We start from the raw sequence: 18,227 nt of genomic DNA, 5'->3' as shown, positions 1-18,227 counted from the left end.
TGAGGCAGGAGAGTTGCTTGAATCCGGGAGGTGGAGGTTACAGTGAGCCGAGATCGCGCCACTGCACTCCAACCTGCCAATAGAGTGAGACTCCGTCTCAAAAAAAAAAAAAAAAGAAAAAAGAAAAATAAAAAAGAAATTAACCTTAGCTTACTGTAATTTTTTAATTTTATATATTTTTTAATTCTTTGACTTTTTGGCTTTTGTAATAACAGCTTAAAACACAAACACATTATAAGCTGTACAAAAATTCTTTCTTTCTTTAAATCCTTATTCTGTAAGCTTTTTTCTGTATTTAAAACTTTTTATTGGCCAGGCACGGTGGGTTACGCCTCTAATCCCAGCACTTTGGGAGGCTGAGGTAGGCGGATCACCTGAGGTCAGGAGTTCGAGACCAGCCTGGCCAACACGGTGGAACCCCATCTCTACAAAAATACAAAAAAAATTAGTGGGGCATGATGGCGAGTGCCTGTAATCTCAGCTACTTGGGAGGCTGAGGCGGGAGAATGGTTTGAACCCAGGAGGCAGAGGTTGCAGTGAGCTAAGATGGTGCCGTTGCACTCCAGCCTGGGTGACAGAGCAAGACTCTGTCTAAAAAAAAAAAAAAAATATATATATATATATATATATATATACACACACACACATACATACATATATAAAACATACAATTATGTACAGTATATAATATTTGATAATAAACAAGTATGTTGGCTGGGCACAGTGGCTCACGCTTGTAATCCCAGCACTTTGGGAGGTCGAGGTGCACAGATCACCTGAGGCCAGGAGTTCGAGATCAGCCTGGTCCAACACGGTGAAATCCCATCTCTACTAAAAATTTTTAAAATTTTATTATCGACCTCCCTGGGCTCAGGTTATCTTCCCACTTCAGCCTCCTGAGTAGCTGGGACTATAGGGGCGCACCACCATGCCCAGCTAATTTTTGTATTTTTTGTAGAGACAGGGTTTCGCCATGTTGCCCAGGCTGGTCTAAAATTCCTGGGCTCAAGCAATCCTCCTGCCTCAGCCTCCCAAAGTGCTGGGATTACAGGCGTGAGCCACCACACCCAGGCAATAAAAAGTGTTTGTTTGTTTGTTTGTTTGTTTGTTTTATTTTTTTGAGATGGAGTTTCACTCTTGTTGCCCAGGCTGGAGTGCAGTGGTGCGATCTCAGCTCACTGCAACTTGTGGAGGTGGCCCTCCACAAGTGTGAGCCACCGCCCCCGGCCTGTGCTATATTTTTACTGGACTGCAGCACAGAAGGTTATGATTACACCAGCATCACCACAAACACAACAGTAATGTGTTGTGCTGTCTGTTGTTGACAGAAATGTCATTATGTACACATGACTATATTTGAATGCTTGTTCCCCTCATTAGTGATTAAGTGATAAGATTTGCTATTGGTCAGCTGGTAATGACTGGACAAAGCTGGACTTGAACCTGGGTCTAACTCCAAAGGCTGTATTTTGCCCAAGGGTCCCCGTGGTCTCCCCAAGCCTGGGACATGGTTTTGTCCATTCCGTGGGCCCCTGAGCAGCAGATTCACTCCAGGCAGAGTTGGTAACCTCTTCCTCCCCCACGACCAAGGCCCTCAGTTCCTCATACTTTCCTCCATTCGCACTCATCCATCAAAACTTATCAGCCAGTGTGACTCCCAGGGCCCTCCTCCCTGCTAGGTGAAATGAGCAAATGTGATCAACTCCGCCCAACAGCCACTAATGTGCTAAGGCTCCCCTCTAAGTGTCATTCAAAAAGTAAAAAGGTGCCAGGCACGGTGGCTCACACCTGTAATCCCAGCACTTTGCGAGGCCAAGGCAGGTGGATCACCTGAGGTCAGGAGTTCGAGACCAGCCTGGCCGACATGGTGAAATCCCATCTCTACTAAAAATACAAAAATTAGCCGGGCATGGTGGTGCATGCCTGTAACCCCAGCTACTCCGGAGACTGAGGCAGGAGAATCACTTGAACCCAGGAGGCTGTGGTTGCGGTGAGCCGAGACTGCGCCATCGCACCCTGGGTGGCAGAGCAAGACTCCATCTCAAAAAAAGAAAAAAAAAGTAAAAAGAAACAGGTAAAATTAATGACAATTATATACTTAACCCGATAGTAGGGTGACCAAATGACCAGGTTTGCCCAGGACTAAGGTATCTCCTGGGATGCAGACCTATCAGTGTTGCAACCAGTAAAGTCCCTGACAAACCAGAACAAGCTGATCGCCCTACCCAGAAGATCTAAAATGCTATCATTTCAAAATGCAATTGATATTTTAAAGTATTTTTATATTTTTACTTTGTTTGGGTACTGTCTTTGAAATCCAATATGTATTTCATACTTAAAAAACATCTCAGCTTAGACTGGCACATTTCAAGTGCTCAACAGCCACCTTTGGCTACTGGTGGCTTTCCTGTGGGTCAGTGCAGGAGTAGAGATAGGCTTGATGTTGAAATAAACCAGTGAATAAGTTGGCAACCCATAGTGGTCTCACCAAGATCCTAACCTTGGGACCTCCATTTCTTTCTTTCTTTTTTTTCTTTTATTTATTTATTTATTTTTTAATCTGTTTTTTTAAAACAGAATTTCACTCTTTTTGCCCAGGCTGGAGTGCAATGGCATGATCTCAGCTCACCTCCGCCTTCCAGGTTCAAGCAATTCTGCCTCAGGCCCCCCAAGTAGCTGGAATTACAGGTATGTGCCACCACACCGAGTTACTTTTTTTTTTTTTTTTTGAGACGGAATCTCTCTCAGTCCCCTAGGCTGCAGTGCAGTGGCATGATCTCCGCTCACTGCAACCACTGTCTCCTGGGTTCAAGCGATTATCCTGTCTCAGCCTCCCGAGTAGCTGGGATTACAGGCACCTGCCATCATGCCCGGCTAATTTTTGTATTTTAGTAGAGACAGGGTTTCACCCTGTTGGCTAGGCTGGTCTTGAACTCCTGACCTCACATGATCTGCCCTCCTCAGCCTACCAAAGTGCTAAGATTACAGGCATGAGCCACCGCGCCCAGCCTAATTTTGTATTTTTGGTAGAGACGGGGTTTCACCATGTTGGTCAGGCTGGTCTCGAACTCCTAACCTCAGGTGATCTACCTGCCTCGGCCTCCCAAAGTGCTGGGATTACAGGCATGAGCCACTGCACCTGGCATATTTATTTATTTATTATTTATTTTTAAGTTGCAGGGTACATATGCAGATGTGCAGGTTTGTTACATAGGTAAACATGTGCCATGATGGTTTGCTGCACCTATCAACCCATCACCTAGGTATTAAGCCCAGTATGCATTAGTTATTTTTCCTAATGCTTGGACTTCCATTTCTATATGTGAAACCCACTTGCACAATTCAGGAATCCCAGCTCTGTGAGAGGGGTCCCAGGTGAACCTTCATTCTGTGGTTTCTCAGTGTCCTGGGGTCCACTATTGTAGTCATTATATTAATGTCAGGATATTTGTAATAGTAAAAGTAGTGGTGGCCATAGTAATAGAAGCTTCCATTTCTGGAGTACTGATGTTATCTCATTTAGTCTTCACAAGAACCCTAGGAGGTGTTGTTATTATCCCCATTTTACAGGTAAGGCAACTGAGGCTGAAAGGGGTAGTCATATGCCTGAGATCACAGAGTGGCAGAGCGTGGATACTAAAAAAGTCCCCCGGGAACAGTTATGATTAACTGCAAGGACCTGGAGCTACCCAGAGTTTGTTTCCTTACAGGTAACCGCCATTGTTAACATGTCTTCCAGGAGTTTCTGATAAATGAGAAACTGGGGGCATAGCACTTAGCAAATAAGTATCAACTGAGGGAGTTAATACTGCTATTATCATGATCATCACTGCACCTTCATGACTGAACATCCAAAGAATGCAGGCTGAAGGTTCCAGATTTAGAAGCCCGCTTTCCAAAGGAAATAGAGATAGAGAGTCAGGACTTGCAAAATGAATTCATGTCCTCCCCAGGGTGGGGCCCCAGGAGTCCTCACCCCAGGGCGGGGGCCTTCTCAGTTGTAATTTTACACCAATGTCCACACCCTGCCACCAAGAAAGAGAAGCAAAATATAAAGAAGCATATTTCCTTTGCCTCCACCCTGAGAGGAAGGAGGAGCTGGTTTCTCAACAGCTCCCTAGACAGGTGGGTGTGCTCACCCCCCAGCCCCAGTCTGGCTGTGAAGGTCCTGAGACCATCTGGGTAGGGTGCTGGGAGGAAGCCCACTCAGGTGGGAAGAAGAGGAGGAGTGCTGAGAGGGCAGGCCTTCCCCACCAGGTAGCAAAAGATAATGGCATTTTGCAGTTCCAGATTCAAAATGGCGCCACCAGCCAGCCTTGACCTGAGATAAGGCAGGGGCTGCTGGCAGGCAGGCTGCTTGAAGAAGGCATGGGAGTCCGGCCGGGGGGCTCATCCTTGCAATCCCAGCCATTCGGGAGGCTGAGGTGGAAGGATTTCTTGAGCGCAGGAGTTGGAGACCAGCCTGGGCAACATAGTGAGACCCTGACTCAAAAAATAAAAAAGAAGGCACAGGCCTTCACTCCAACCCTCCCACTCTTAATCCAGCAGCCAAGGTGGAGATCAGAAGGGGCAGGGCAGAGCAATTTTCATGACAGCAATTCTCTACTGTCTGTTTATTCACACAGTGGGCTAAGTGATTGTATCTATAGTCTCTCCTTTGATCCTCACAGATGTAAGAAATGCCACACTAAGTATCTTAACATGGGTTATCTTTTTTCTTTTCTTTTTTCTTTTTTTTTTTTTTTTTTTTTTTGGAGACAGGGTCTCACTCCGTCACCAAGGCAGATTGCGAAGGTGTCATGGCAGCTCACTGCAGCCTGGACCTCCCAGGCTTAAGCGATCCTTCCACCTCAGCCTTGTGAGTAGCTGGGACCACAGGTGCACATCACCACCACGCCCAAATATTTGTATTTTTTGTAGAGATAGGGGTCTTTCCATGTTGCTCAGGCTGGTCTCAAACTCCTGGACTCAAGTGATCTGCCTGCCTCTGCCTCCCAATGTGTTGGGATTACATACGTGAGCCACCGCATCCTTTTTTAAATCTCAAGAATACTGTGTGTGTTACTGAGTGTGATACAATAGTCCCCCCTTATCTGTGACACACATGTTCTAAGACCTCCAGTGAATGCGTGAGGCTGCCCACAGTGCTGAATCCTATATTTCCCATGCTTTTTCAATCTGATAACTAAGAGGACCATGAGCAGGTGGCGTAGACAGCATGTGTACACACTGGACAAAGGGATGATTCACGTCCCAGGCAGGACAGGGTGGGACAGGGTGAGATTTTATCACGCTACTCAGAACGGTGTGCAATGTAAAACATGAATTCTTTCTGGAATTTTCCATGTTTTTTTTATTGTAGTTAGCTGTAGCAAACTGAAACCATGGAGAGTGAAACTGTGGACAAAGGAGAACTACTGTACTAACATTATCATCCCTGTAGCACAAGTTGGGAAACTGAGGCTCAAAGAGAAAGTCCCCTATGCAAGCTCCTGTGGGTATTAAGTGTCAGAATCTGAATTTGAACCCTAGTCTAACCGACTCTAGAAGCCAGCTCTGCATCTTGGAGATCTCTTCAATCCTTCAGAACACACAGCCCTAACTGCCCAAAGCACAGCTTACCTTTCTGTGGTAAGAGAATGAAGGCGGCAGCCACCCTTCACTCCACATCTGCGTGTTGTTCCTCAGCAGAGGTGGGGAATCAGGGCCTGCTAAGGGCCTCAACTTCCTCCCACTGGCCCTTCCCAGCCCAAGGTGGAACCCATGGCCAGAGCATGCCTCACACCCCACCTTAGTCTCACTAGAATCTCACATGTGCAATTTGCAAATGAGTGGGCTGTCTTCCTCCACCCAGTCTGACTTTCACTTCTTTAGAAGATTTTTGTGTGACTCTGTTTTATTTTGTTTTAACTGCAGACAAATGCCACAGAGCACTTTTCTGCTAAAGAAAACTGTCTAGCTACTGCTCACCTGGCAAAGCCAGTCTGCCTTCCAACTGGAACAGAGCTTCCCCTTTGCGAATGGCTTTACGCTGACAAAGCCCTTTTCTGTCCTTATCTCATCTACTCCTCCGCCAGCCAGAGTTAGCAGTATTATTCTCAGAGCGCCCGAGAACAGAGTGTTTATTCTTATCCCTATTATCTAAAAGAGTGGAGGCGTTTATGATCACTCATTGAATTGCTATGGAGTGGGGAGAGCTCGGAAAGGTGAAGTGACTTGCTCAAGGTCACACAGTGACAGCATCAGAACTCAACTTTTGCTTTTCTTTCTTTCTTTCTTCCTTTTCTTTCTCTCTTTCTTTCTTTGTCTCTTTCTTTCTTTTTCGTTCTTTTCCTTTCTCTTTTCTTTTCTTTCTCTTTCTCTTTCCTTCCTTTTCTTTCTCTTTTCTTTCTCTCTTTCTCTTTCTTTCTTTTCTTTCTTTCTCCTTCTTTTCTTTCTTCTTTCTTCCTCTTTCTTTCTTTCCTTTTTTTGTTGACAGGGTCTCTGTCACCCAGGTTGGAGTGCAGTGGTACGATCTTGGCTCACTGCAACCTCCACCTCGCAGGTCCAAGCAATTATCCTGCCTCAGCCTCCCAAGTAGCTGGGATTACAGGCACCCACCATCACACCTGGCTAATTTTTGTATTTTCAGTAGAGACAGGGTTTCATCATGTTGGCCAGGCTTGTCTGGAACTCCTGGCCTCAAGTGATCCACCCGCCTCGGCCTCCCAAAGTGCTGGGATTATAGGCATGAGCCACCACGCCCAGCCACCCTTTTGCTTTCTAACTCCAAAACCTATTCTGTAGCACTCCAGAATGTATCTTCAAGGAAGTTTATTGCAGCACTTTTTACAGCAAGCTAAATATCCCTCACTAGTGGACTGATAACATGTGGTCCCACTAGGGCCGGGCGAGGTGACTCACACCTGTAATCCCCGCACTTTGGGAGGCTGAGGTAGGCGGATCACTTGAGGTCAGGAGCTCAAGACCAGCCTGGCCAACATGGTGAAACCCGCCTCTACTAAAAATACAAAAATTAGCTGAGCATGATGGCAGATGCCTGTAATCCCAGCTGTTCGGGAGGCTGAGACAGGAGAATTGCTTGAATCTGGGGCAGAGGTTGCACTGAGCCAAGATAGCACCACTGTACTCCAGCCTGGGTGACAGAGCAAGACTCTGTCTCAAAAAAAAAAAATGTGGTCCCACTAGCAGCCTGGACGTCACCTGGGAGTGTGCAGAATCTCAGGTGCCACCCAGACCCACTGAATCAGGGGCTGCAGTTTAACAAGACCCCTAAGGTGATCCATGTGCTCATTCAAGTTTGAAAGGAGCTGCATTACAGTACATCCATCAGATGGGCTACTTTGGCACTTTTAAAATAATTTTTTTTTTTTTTTTTTTTTAGAGATGGGGTCTTATTATGTCACCTAGGCTGGTCTCCAACTCCTGGGTTCAAGTGATCCTCCCACCTTGGTCTCCCAAAGTGCTGAGATTACAGGGATGAACCACTGCACTCAGCTGTACTTCTTAAAAGAATGTAATGGATCTATATAGGCTTATCTGAATATTTATTGTAAAGCAGGAGGAGGGGAGAAGCAAGTTACAGACCAGCATGAATTTGTATGATTTAATTTGTGTGCACATTTTAGAAACAAAAATAGCAGTTGGGTGCAGTGGCTCACAACTGTAATCCCAGCACTTTGGGAGGCAGAGGTGGGCAGATTGTTTGAGCTCAGGAGTTCGAGGCCAGCCTGGACAATATAGCAAAATCCCATCTCTACAAAAAGTACAGGGCATGGTGGTGTGCACTTGTAGCCCCTGCTACTCAGGAGGCTGAGGTGGGAAGATGGCTTGAGCATAGGACGTGGAGATTGCAGTGAGCTGAGATGAAACCACTGCATTCCAGACTGGGTGACAGAGCCAGATCCTGTCTCAGAAAAATTAAAAGTAAAGTTAAAACAATTTAAAAAGCACTAACAGCCAAGTGTGGTGGCTCACACCTATAATCCAGTGCTTTGGGAGGCTGAGGCAGGAGGATTGTTTCAGCCCAGGAGTTTGAGACCAGCCTGGGCAACATAGCAAGACCCCCATCTCTACAACTACTTGGAAGGCTGAGAGGCTGAGGTAGGAGGATCACTGGAGCCCAGAAGTTTAAGACCAGCATGGGCAACATAGTGAGATTCTGTCTGTAAATAAAAAAAAAAAAAAAGCACTAATATATGTTAATGTATGGATTAATGTATGTTAATGTATGTATGGATTAAGTTGCTCATCAGCCGGGCAGCCTCCCAGGGAACCAGTCTAGGAGGGGAGCCAAAACAGGACTGAAAGAAATGGAAACACGGTGCCAGGTAACTCAGGTTTCCACATGAGGTGGACCTGTAACCCCCGGTGATCAGAGGTATATAGCACCCACTGGGGGAAACGAAAACACCCTCCTCCCCAGCACTAGAGTCCAGCTACAGATTCTCTCAGGACTTGTCAGGTCACGTCAGTTTAGTCTTTGGTCCAGGCTGCATGCTGCGCCCAAGACCTAGTGATTTGTTAGCGCAGCTCCTGATCCTATTCCCTTTAGGACAGCTCCGCCGGGTGCTGTGGCTCATGCCTGTAATCCTAGCACTTTGGGAGGCCGAGGAAGGTGGATCACCTGAGGTTGGGAGTTCAAGACCAGCCTGACCAACATGGAGAAACCCTGTCTCTACTAATAATACAAAATTAGCTGGGTGTGGTGGCATGCCTGTAATCCCAGCTACTCGGGAGGCTGAGTCAGGAGAATCGCTTGAACCCAGGAGGCAGAGGTTGCAGTAAACTGAGATCGTGCCATTGCACTCCAGCCTGGGCAACAAGAGTGAAACTCCTTCTCAAAAAAAAAAAAAAAAAAGGCAGCTCCAAAAAGCTGACTGGCTTGGAGAACTACAATTCCAAGACAATTCCAAATAAGTCAAAAGGCCAGCTTACATTCTGTGCCTGTAATAAATCCTTTATTTTGAAAAGAAAGAGGAATGTTATTTTTCATTAACAGAAAATTGGTTTCTCCACATTCTGCCTAAATACATTTTGAAAAACTATCTTACAAATATCAGGTTGAGGGGATGCCAACTTTTTAGGCTGCCCAGGGCACCTATATGTCTCAGTCCAGTTCTGTACATGGATAAGAAAAAAAATAAACCCTGAAAGGATTTATAGCAGTGGGCCAAGGCAATCATGATGAGGTAAAATGATAAGTTTTACTTTTTTTTTTTCAAGACAGTTTCACTCTGTCGCCCAGGCTGGAGTGCAGTGGCTCGATCTTGTCTCACTGCAACCTCCACCTCCCAGGTTCAAGCAATTCTCATGCCTCAGCCTCCCGAGTAACAGGGATTACAGGCACATGCCGCCACACCTGGCTAATATTTGTATTATTAGTGGATAAGGGGTTTTACCATGTTGACCAGGCTGGCCTCAAACTCCTGACCTCAGATGATCCACCCACCTCGGCCTCCCAAAGTGCTGGGATTACAGGGGTGAACCAACACACCCGGCCAACTTTTACTTTTTACCTTAAGGACTTTATTTCTACCTTAAATGTTTCTCTAATGTTTTGAAAACATACACTGTTGGTAGGGATGCATCATAGCACACACCCAATTTGGAAAACAGGTTGTTTGTTTGTTTGTTTGTTTGTTTGTTTGTTTTTGAGACAGAATCTTGCTCTGTCGCCCAGGCTGGAGTGCAGTGGCATGATCTCAGGTCACTCCAACCTCTGCCTCCTGGGTTCAAGCAATTCTTGTGCCTCAGCCTCCCGAGTACCTGTGGTTATAGGCATGAGCCACCTCACCTGGCCTGGTTTTTTTGTTTTGGTTTTTTGAGATGGAGTTTCACTCTTGTCACCCAGGCTGGAGTGCAGTGGCATGATCTCAGCTCACTGCAACCTCCACCTCCCAGGTTCAAGTGATTCTCCTGCCTCAGCCTCCCAAGTAGCTGGGATTACAGGCACTCGTCACCATGATTAGCTAATTTTTGTATTTTTAGTAGAGACAGGGTTTCACCATGTTGGCCAGGCTAGTCTCAAACTCCTGACCTCAGGTGATCCACCCTCCTTGGCCCCCCAAAGTGCAGAGATTACAGGTGTGAGCCACTGTGCCCGCCTGGCCTAATTTTTTTTTTTTTTTTAATACAGAGTCTCACTCTGTCGCCAGGCTGAAGTGCAGTGGCGCAATCTCAGCTCACTGCAACCTCTGCCTCCCAGGTTCAAGCGATTCTCCTGCCTCAGCCTCCCAAGTAGCTGAGACTACAGGTGTGCACCACCATGCCCAGCTAATTTTTGTATTTTTAGTAGAGACAGGGTTTCACCATGTTGGCCAGGATGATCTCGATCTCTTGACCTCGTGAACCGCCTGCCTCAGCCTCCCAAAGTGCTGGGTTTACAGGCATGAGCCACTGCGCCCTGCCCTAATTTTTTTCTTAATGATAGAGATGGGGTATCACTCTGTTGCCCAGGCTAGTCTCTAACTCCTGGACTCAAGCAATCCTCCCACCTTGGCCTTCCAAAGTGCTAGGATTACAGTCATTAGCCTCCACACCTGGCCAGGGAAACAGTTTCTTAAAAAGTTAAACATACCCTACTCTATGATCCAACCATTCCACTTCTAGGTAATGACCCAAGGGAAATAAAAGCATGTGTACTTGGATGTTCATACCAGCTTTGTTTATAATTGCCAAGATGTAGAAACAACCCAAAGGTCCATTAACAAGTGAATGGATGAACAAACTGGAGCATCCAGACAATGGAATCAACCTGAGCAGTGGAAAGGAACTACCTACCACGCACACAATGACACGGACACAGACGAATCTCACAATAATTATGCTAAGTGAAGGGGGCAAGGCCAGTTAAAAAAAAAAGTGCATACTGTATGATTCCATCTTATATAAAATTCTAGAAAATGCCACCTACTCTATAGTGACAGAAGGCAGATCAGTGTTTGCCTGGAGATGTAGGGGGTAAGCAGAGAGAGATGGAAGGAGGAGATTACAAAAGAATATAAGGAAACTTTCTTTTTTCTTTTTGAGGCAGGGTCTCCCGCTGTCATCCAGGCCGGAGTGCAGTGGTGCCATCACGGCAGACTGCAGCCTCCGTCTCCTGGGTGCAAGTGATCTTCTGGCCTTAGCCTCCCGAGTAGCTGGGCCTACAGACATGCACCACCATACCCAGCTAATTTTTGTATTATTAATAGAGATGGGGTTTCACCATGTTTCTCAGGCTGGTCTGAAACTCCTGAGCTTAAGCAATCCTCCCTCCTTGGCCTCCCAAAATGTTGGGATTATAGGTGTGAGCTACTGTGCCTGGCCTGGAAACTTTCTGGGGTGATGAATATGTTCACTGTTTTGATTGTAGTAATGGTTTCATGGATACACACATACATGCATGCACACACACACACACACACACACACATATATATATATGCTCCTGTGTGTGTATATACATACATGGGTGGGTATCAAAACTTATAAAATTGTACATTTCAAATATGTACAGTTTACTGTATGTCAATTACGTCAAAACAAAATTACATCAAAAGGAAGAAGGAAGGAAGGAAGAACAAGTGTGTTTCAATTTTTTTTTTCTTTTTTGAGACGGAGTCTCCCTGTGCCACCCAGGCTGGAATGCAGTCGTGTGATCTCGGCTCACTGCAACCTCTGCCTCCTGGGCTCTAATGATTCTCCTGCCTCACCCTCCTGAGTAGCTGGGACTACAGGCACTCACCACCACGCCCGGCTAATTTTTGTATTTTCAGTAGAGACAGGGTTTCGCCATGTTGGCCAGGCTGGGCTCAAACTCCTGACCTTAAGTGATCCACCAGCCTCGGCCTCCCAAAGTACTGGAATTACAGGCATGAGCCACCGCGCCCAGCCTACAAGTCTGTTTGACTTTTATGAGCAGAAAAAAGGCAATAAGGATAAATTCAAAGGCACACCCACGGAAAAAAAATGCATGCTCTTTCACTACATAAAAGGTTTGTCTTCTAAATCTCATCGCCCCTACCTATCACTGCAGAGGATAAGTGCACCAAGGTGCTCTTTTGTTCAACTCATTTAAGATGATCTATTCCTTTTTCTCCCCCATGTCTTCCCTGAAGAGTATATGAAGTGGGATCCTGCTGAAATGGAGTGAGATAAGGTTTCTTCACCTCCCTTGCTCCACAATGGCCCAACTTCTCCCTGTGGAGGTTACAGGCTGTGAGGAATGTGATGACATGTTTACTTTGGAGCAGACCTTGGCCAGTAAATAACACTCCCAGCTCCCACCAGAATCAGCCCCTGATAGGAGATAGGTCCTTCCAAAATAGCTGGAGGTCAGGCCTTCCTCCAAATGCTGGGCTGGTCTTTAATAGTGAGGGGAGGGGAGGGGAGGGTGAGAGTCAACACAGTGCATTTTTCCTGGGTTTCCCTAGATCCTAAACTAGGAGAGCTGTTGGTGCAGAAGCTCATTGATAAATATCAAGAGAACAATTACAACATGGTTGGTCAAGTTTAATGAAGTATTGGCCAGCCCCCCCTATATTTTTAGAGTGATTGGTTCACCATTTTTATTTTAGTACCTTTGTTGGCTTGGATGGCTGACTAGTCACAGGGTCCCAAGTTGGTTAGAACTAGAGGGAATCTACTGGATCAAATGGCTTTCCAGAATGCAAGACTTCTCTAGTAATTACAATAATAATCATAACAACAACTACTCCATGTACTTTATGTGTGTTGCCACATTTAATCTTTTTTTTTTTTTGAGACGGAGTCTCGCTCTGTTGCCCAGGCTGGAGTGCAGTGGGGTGACCTTGGCACTGCAACCTCTGCCTCCCAGGTTCAAGTGATTCTCCTGCCTCAGCCTCCTGGGTAGCTGGGATTACAGGCGCATGCCACCACACCCAGCTAATTTTTGTATTTTTAGTAGAGATGGGGTTTCACCACGTTGGCCAGGCTGGTCTTGAACTCCTGACCTCGTGATCCGCCCGCCTTGGCCTCCAAAAGTGCTGGGATTACAGGCATGAGCCACCGCACCCGGCACCACATTTAATCTTACATAACCCCACGAGGTAGGAACTGAGGCCCAGTGAGATTAAGCAAGTAGTTAATAGGTCTGACTCCAAAAGCCAAGCTCGGAACCACAGCACCATACTACCTCCCAGGAAACCGTGGGAAGTCCAGGCATAGTGAGGTACTGGAGTCAGATTCAAGTTCAAATCCTTATTCTGCATTGATGAGTTGTACGGGAATAATAGTAATATTTAGATCACATGGCTGTGCTGAGGTGCTCATGTAGTAATGTCAGTAATGTGTTCTGGGCACAAAGCAGGTAACCAAGAAGTGGTAGCTGTCATCATCATCATCATCATTGTTAAGAAAGATCTTCAGCTGGGTGCAGTGGCTCATGCCTGTAATCCCAGCTCTTTGGTAGGCTGAAGCGGGCGGATCACCTGAGGTCAGGAGTTTGAGACCATCCTGGCCAACATGGTGAAACCCCATCTGTACTAAAAATACAAAAATTAGCCCGGCGTGGTGGTGCCCACCTGTAATCCCAGCTATTTGGGAGGTTGAGGCAGGAGAATCGCTTGAACTCAGGAAGCAGAGGTTGCAGTGAGCCAAGATCGCGCCATTGCACTCCAGCCTGGGCGACAAGAGCAAAACTCCGTCTCAGAAAAAAAAAAAAAGAAGAAGAAGAAAAAAGAAAGATCTTCAGCTGGGTGCAGTGGCTGTAATCCCAACACTTTGGGAGGCTGAGGCAGGCAGATCGCTTAAGCCCAGAAGTTCGAGACCAGCCTGGGAAACATGGCAAAACCTTGTCTCTACAAAAAACACAAAAATTAGGCATAATGGTGTCTGTCTGTGGTCCCAGCTACTAGGGAAGCTGAGGTGGGAGGCTCACTTGAGCCTGGGAGGACGAGGCTGCAGTTAGCTATGATTGTGCCACTGCACTCCAACATGGGCAAGGGATTGAGACCCTGTCTCAAAAAAAGAGAGAGAAAGAGAGAAAGAAAAGAAAAGAAAAGAAATCTTCATTCAAATCTACTTCTGGTTTGATCCTACTGAGTCACAGTTACAGACATTCATATGCTTCACCCTCTCCCTTCCTCTAATCCACACTCAAAAGTCCAGGCTGGACACAGTGGCTCTCACCTGTAATCTCAGCACTTTGGGAGGCTGAGGTGGGAGGACCACTTGAGCCCAGGAGGTCAAGGCTACACTGAGACATGATCCCACCACTGCATTCCAGCCTGGGTGACAGAGCGAGACCCCATCTCTAAAAAAAAAAAGTCCTGGGCTGGGCACAGTGGCTCACACCTGTAATCCTAGCAATTTGGGAGGCCGAGGTGGGCGGATTGCCTGAGCTCAGGAGTTCGAGACCAGCCTGGGCAATATGGTGAAACCCCATCTCTACTAAAATACAAAAAATTAGCCAGACATGGTGGTGTGCGCCTGTAATCCCAGCTACTCAGGAGGCTGAGGCAGGAGAATCACTTGAACCTGAGAGGCAGAGGTTGCAGTGAGCCGAGATCACGCCACTGCACTCTAGCCTGGGCGACAGAGCCAGACTCCGTCTCCAAAAAAAAAAAAAAAAAAAAGTCCTGTTCTCTGTGAGGCATACACTGACTATCCCATATAAATTGAAAGGCTCTTGTTCCTCCCTTGGCAACTCCCTATCCTCCTTCTCTGACTTATTTTTCTCCTTGGTACATATCATTTTCTGGTGTGTAGTCTATCACCTATATACACTAAATACTTTATTTATCTTGTTTATATTCTGCCTTCTCAAATAGCTGATGAAGATACCACTGCCTACAACATCCCTGGCATTCAACAAGTGCTCAGGATATATTAATGTGGAATAAATGAACCCTTGCTTGAAGTTTTAGATTGGAGGTCAGGGTCTACTTCTCTTTAGTCCTGTGACATGAATCAAGTTATTCAACCTCAGGGAACCTCATTTTCCTCAGTGGCTGAAAAAGAGCAATAATATTTGTGTTTCTCTTGTCCCTGTTAGAGCCTAAGGGGAAGGCAAGGCCATGCATGGGAAAGAATCACCTCCAAATACTCCAGAGACAGCTATTGAATGTCTGCTCCATGCCAGGCAGGATGCCAGGCCCTGGAGGGTGCAGCCCGCAGAAAGCCCCTGCCCTCCAGGAACCTGCAGTCTACCTCAAGAGACAGACATTTCAACAAATACAACCTAACTTGAGTCACAGTTCTTTTTTTTGAGACAGAATTTCACTCTTGTTGCCCAGGCTGGAGTGCAATGGAGCGATCTCGGCTCACCGCAACCTCTGCCTCCCGAGTTCAAGCAATTCTCCTGCCTCAGCCTCCCCAGTAGCTGTGATTACAGGCATGTGCCACCACGCCTGGGTAATTTTGTATGTTTGTTAGTAGAGACAGGGTTTCTCCATGTTGGTTAGGCTGGACTCAAACTCCCGACTTCAGGTGATCCACCCACCTCGGCCTCCCAAAGTGCTTGGATTACAGGCATGAGCCACCACGCCCAGCTTGAGTCACAATTCTGATCTACAGCAACTGTTTAACAAGCTAAGCACTTTGCATTGTCTCATGTAACCCTATAAATTAGGTACCACCACCAGCACTATTTTACAGACAAGGAAACTGCAGCAAGACCTTAAGAAACAAAGACTTGAACCCGGGAGGTGGAGGTTGCAGTGAGCCAAGATCACACCATTGCACTCCAGCCTGGGTGACAGAGTGAGACTCTGTCTCAAAAAAAAAAAGGAACAAAGACTTACTCCACACCCAGGTATGTACCCAAGAAATGAAAATGTATGCACACACAGAAACTTGTACACGAATGTTTATAGCAACATTATTCATACTAGCCAAAACACAGAAACGACCCAGATGTTCATCAATGGATGAATGGATAAACAAAACATGGTATAGCTATACAATGAAATATTATTCAGCCACAAAAAGGAATGAAATACTGATACATGCTACAACATGGATGAACCTGAAAAACATGCTAAGTGAAAGAAGCCAAACAAAAAAAGTCACATATTATGTGTTTATTTTATTTTATTATTATTTTTTTAATAAATAGGCTGGAGTACAGTGGCGCAATCTCAACTCACTGCAACTTCTGCCTCCTTAGTTCAAGCAATTCTCCTGCCTCAGCTTCCCGAGTAGCTGGGATTACAGGCGTGCGCCACCACGCCTGGCTAATTTTTGTATTTTTAGTAGAGATGGGGTTTCACCGTGTTGATCAGGCTGGTCTCCAACTCCTGACATTGTGATCCGCCTGCCTTGGCCTCCCAAAGTGCTGGGATTACAGGCGTGAGCCACCTCACGCAGCCATATTTTTTTTTTTTTTTTTTGAGACAGAGTCTTGCTCTTGTCGCCCAGGCTGGAGTGCAGTGTCACGATCTCAGCTCACTGCAACCTCTGCTTCCCGGGTTCAAGTGATTCTCCTGCCCCAGCTTCCTGAGTAGTTGGGATTACAGGCACCTGCCACTACACCTGGCTAATTTTTGTACTTTTTGTATTTTTTGTACTTTTAGTAGAGACAGCCACCGCGCCTGGCCAAATTGTACATTTCAAAATAATTTATTGTGTTATGTGAGTTTTACATCGATTAAAAAAAAAAACAGAAAGAAAGAAACAGGTGTGGCATTGTACATGGCAGAGACTGGAGCCTGGACTTAAACCTGGGCAGTGTGGCTCACAGTCTGTGATTTTAATAACTGCAAATCTTAATTTCAGTATCATATTTTTCAGTTCTGGAATTTCCATATGATTCTTTTTTATAGTTCCTAGTTTTCTGCTGACATTCTTGTCATGTTATTCCCTGAATGCATTAATCATGGTTATTAGAGTCCCACCTCAAAGCCTGAGGGCAACTTCAAATTTCAGCTCATCTTTCTAGGCCATGTCTAGGTGTTCTCAGAGCGAAGGTTGACTTGGTATGTCCACCAGGGTGAGAAGCAGGAAATATTTGCCCCAAACCTCTCACCTCTGCCCTAGCTCTTCTGCCTATGTGAGTAAAGACTTTAATGTTTCTGTCTGGGAGCAGTGGCTCACACCTGTAATCCCAGTACTTTGGGAGGCCAAGGTGGGTGGATCACCTGAGGTCAGGAGTTTGAGACCAGCCTGACTAACATGGTGAAATCCCGTCTGTACTAAAAAAACATACAAAATTAGCCGGGCGTGGTGGCGCATGCCTGTAATCACAAGTACTCGAGAGGCTGAAGCAGGAGAATCACTTGAACCTGGGAGGCAGAGGTTGCAGTGAGCCAAGATGGCGCCGTTGCCCTCCAAGCTGGGCAGTAAGAGTGAAATTCTGCCTTAAAAAAAAAACAAAAAAAACAGTATTCAACATTTCAAAGCAAAACATGAGAATTTAGGTTGGTGAAACTGCAGTTTTCTAAGTTGTGTTATTTATTTAATGATTTTGGGGACATTTCTCCCTATTTAATTCCAAGAGATACTACACAGTATAATTTCTTAAGGAAATTAATGTTTCAGATAATAATAAAAGCCACCATTTGCTGAGTGCTTCAAAAGGGCCTACTTGGGAGGCTGAGGCAGTAGAATCGCTAGAACCTGGGAGGCGGAGGTTACAGTGAGCCGAGATCGCACCACTGCACTCCAGCCTGGGTGACAGAGCGAGATTTCATCTCAAGAAACAAACAAACAACAACAAAAAGGGGCTTACTGCTTTAAGTATTTTACATGTATTAACTCACTTAGTCCTCAAAAAAGGCTAAGATCAGGTTTTGCCATCTCCACAACCATGGTTGAAAGAACCAAGGCCCAGAGAGGTGAAGACGTTAGCCCAAGGACATGCAGCTTGTACAGCATAAAGCAGAGACACAAAGCAGGTCCAGCCAACTCCCAGGCATTCTTCTCGTTGACCTAAGAACAAGGAGTGAGTAATTATAAGAAATCAGAGTATCCAGCCAGGCGCCGTGGCTCACGCCTGTAATCCCAGCACTTTGGGAGGCTGAGGCGGGGGGATTGCCTGGGGTCAGGAGTTCGAGACCAGCCTGGCCAATATGGTGAAACCCGTCTCTACTAAAAATACAAAAATTAGCTGGGCGTGGTGGCGCCTGTAATCCCAGCTACTCGGGAGGCTGAAGCAGGAGAATCACTTGAACCCGGGAGGCGGAGGTTGCAGTGAACCCAGATTGCGCCACTGCACTCCAGCCTGGGCGACAGAGCGACACTCTATCTCAAAAAACAAAAAACAAACAAACAAACAAAAACAGAGTA

At 46.1% G+C, this 18,227-nt stretch overlaps 1 annotated feature.

The window, feature by feature from the left end:
- Positions 6,464–7,039: an enhancer, noted in NCBI's record as "H3K27ac-H3K4me1 hESC enhancer chr3:57983544-57984119 (GRCh37/hg19 assembly coordinates)". NCBI's record gives its function as "activates a minimal SCP1, AML or CMV promoter by ChIP-STARR-seq in primed H9 embryonic stem cells {active_cell/tissue: H9 hESC(primed)}" and the evidence as "EXISTENCE:reporter gene assay evidence [ECO:0000049][PMID:30033119]".

Source organism: Homo sapiens, chromosome 3, assembly GCF_000001405.40.
Source record: "Homo sapiens chromosome 3, GRCh38.p14 Primary Assembly".
NCBI classification, from domain to species: domain Eukaryota; kingdom Metazoa; phylum Chordata; class Mammalia; order Primates; family Hominidae; genus Homo; species Homo sapiens.
This window is presented reverse-complemented; position numbering and strand designations above follow the sequence as displayed.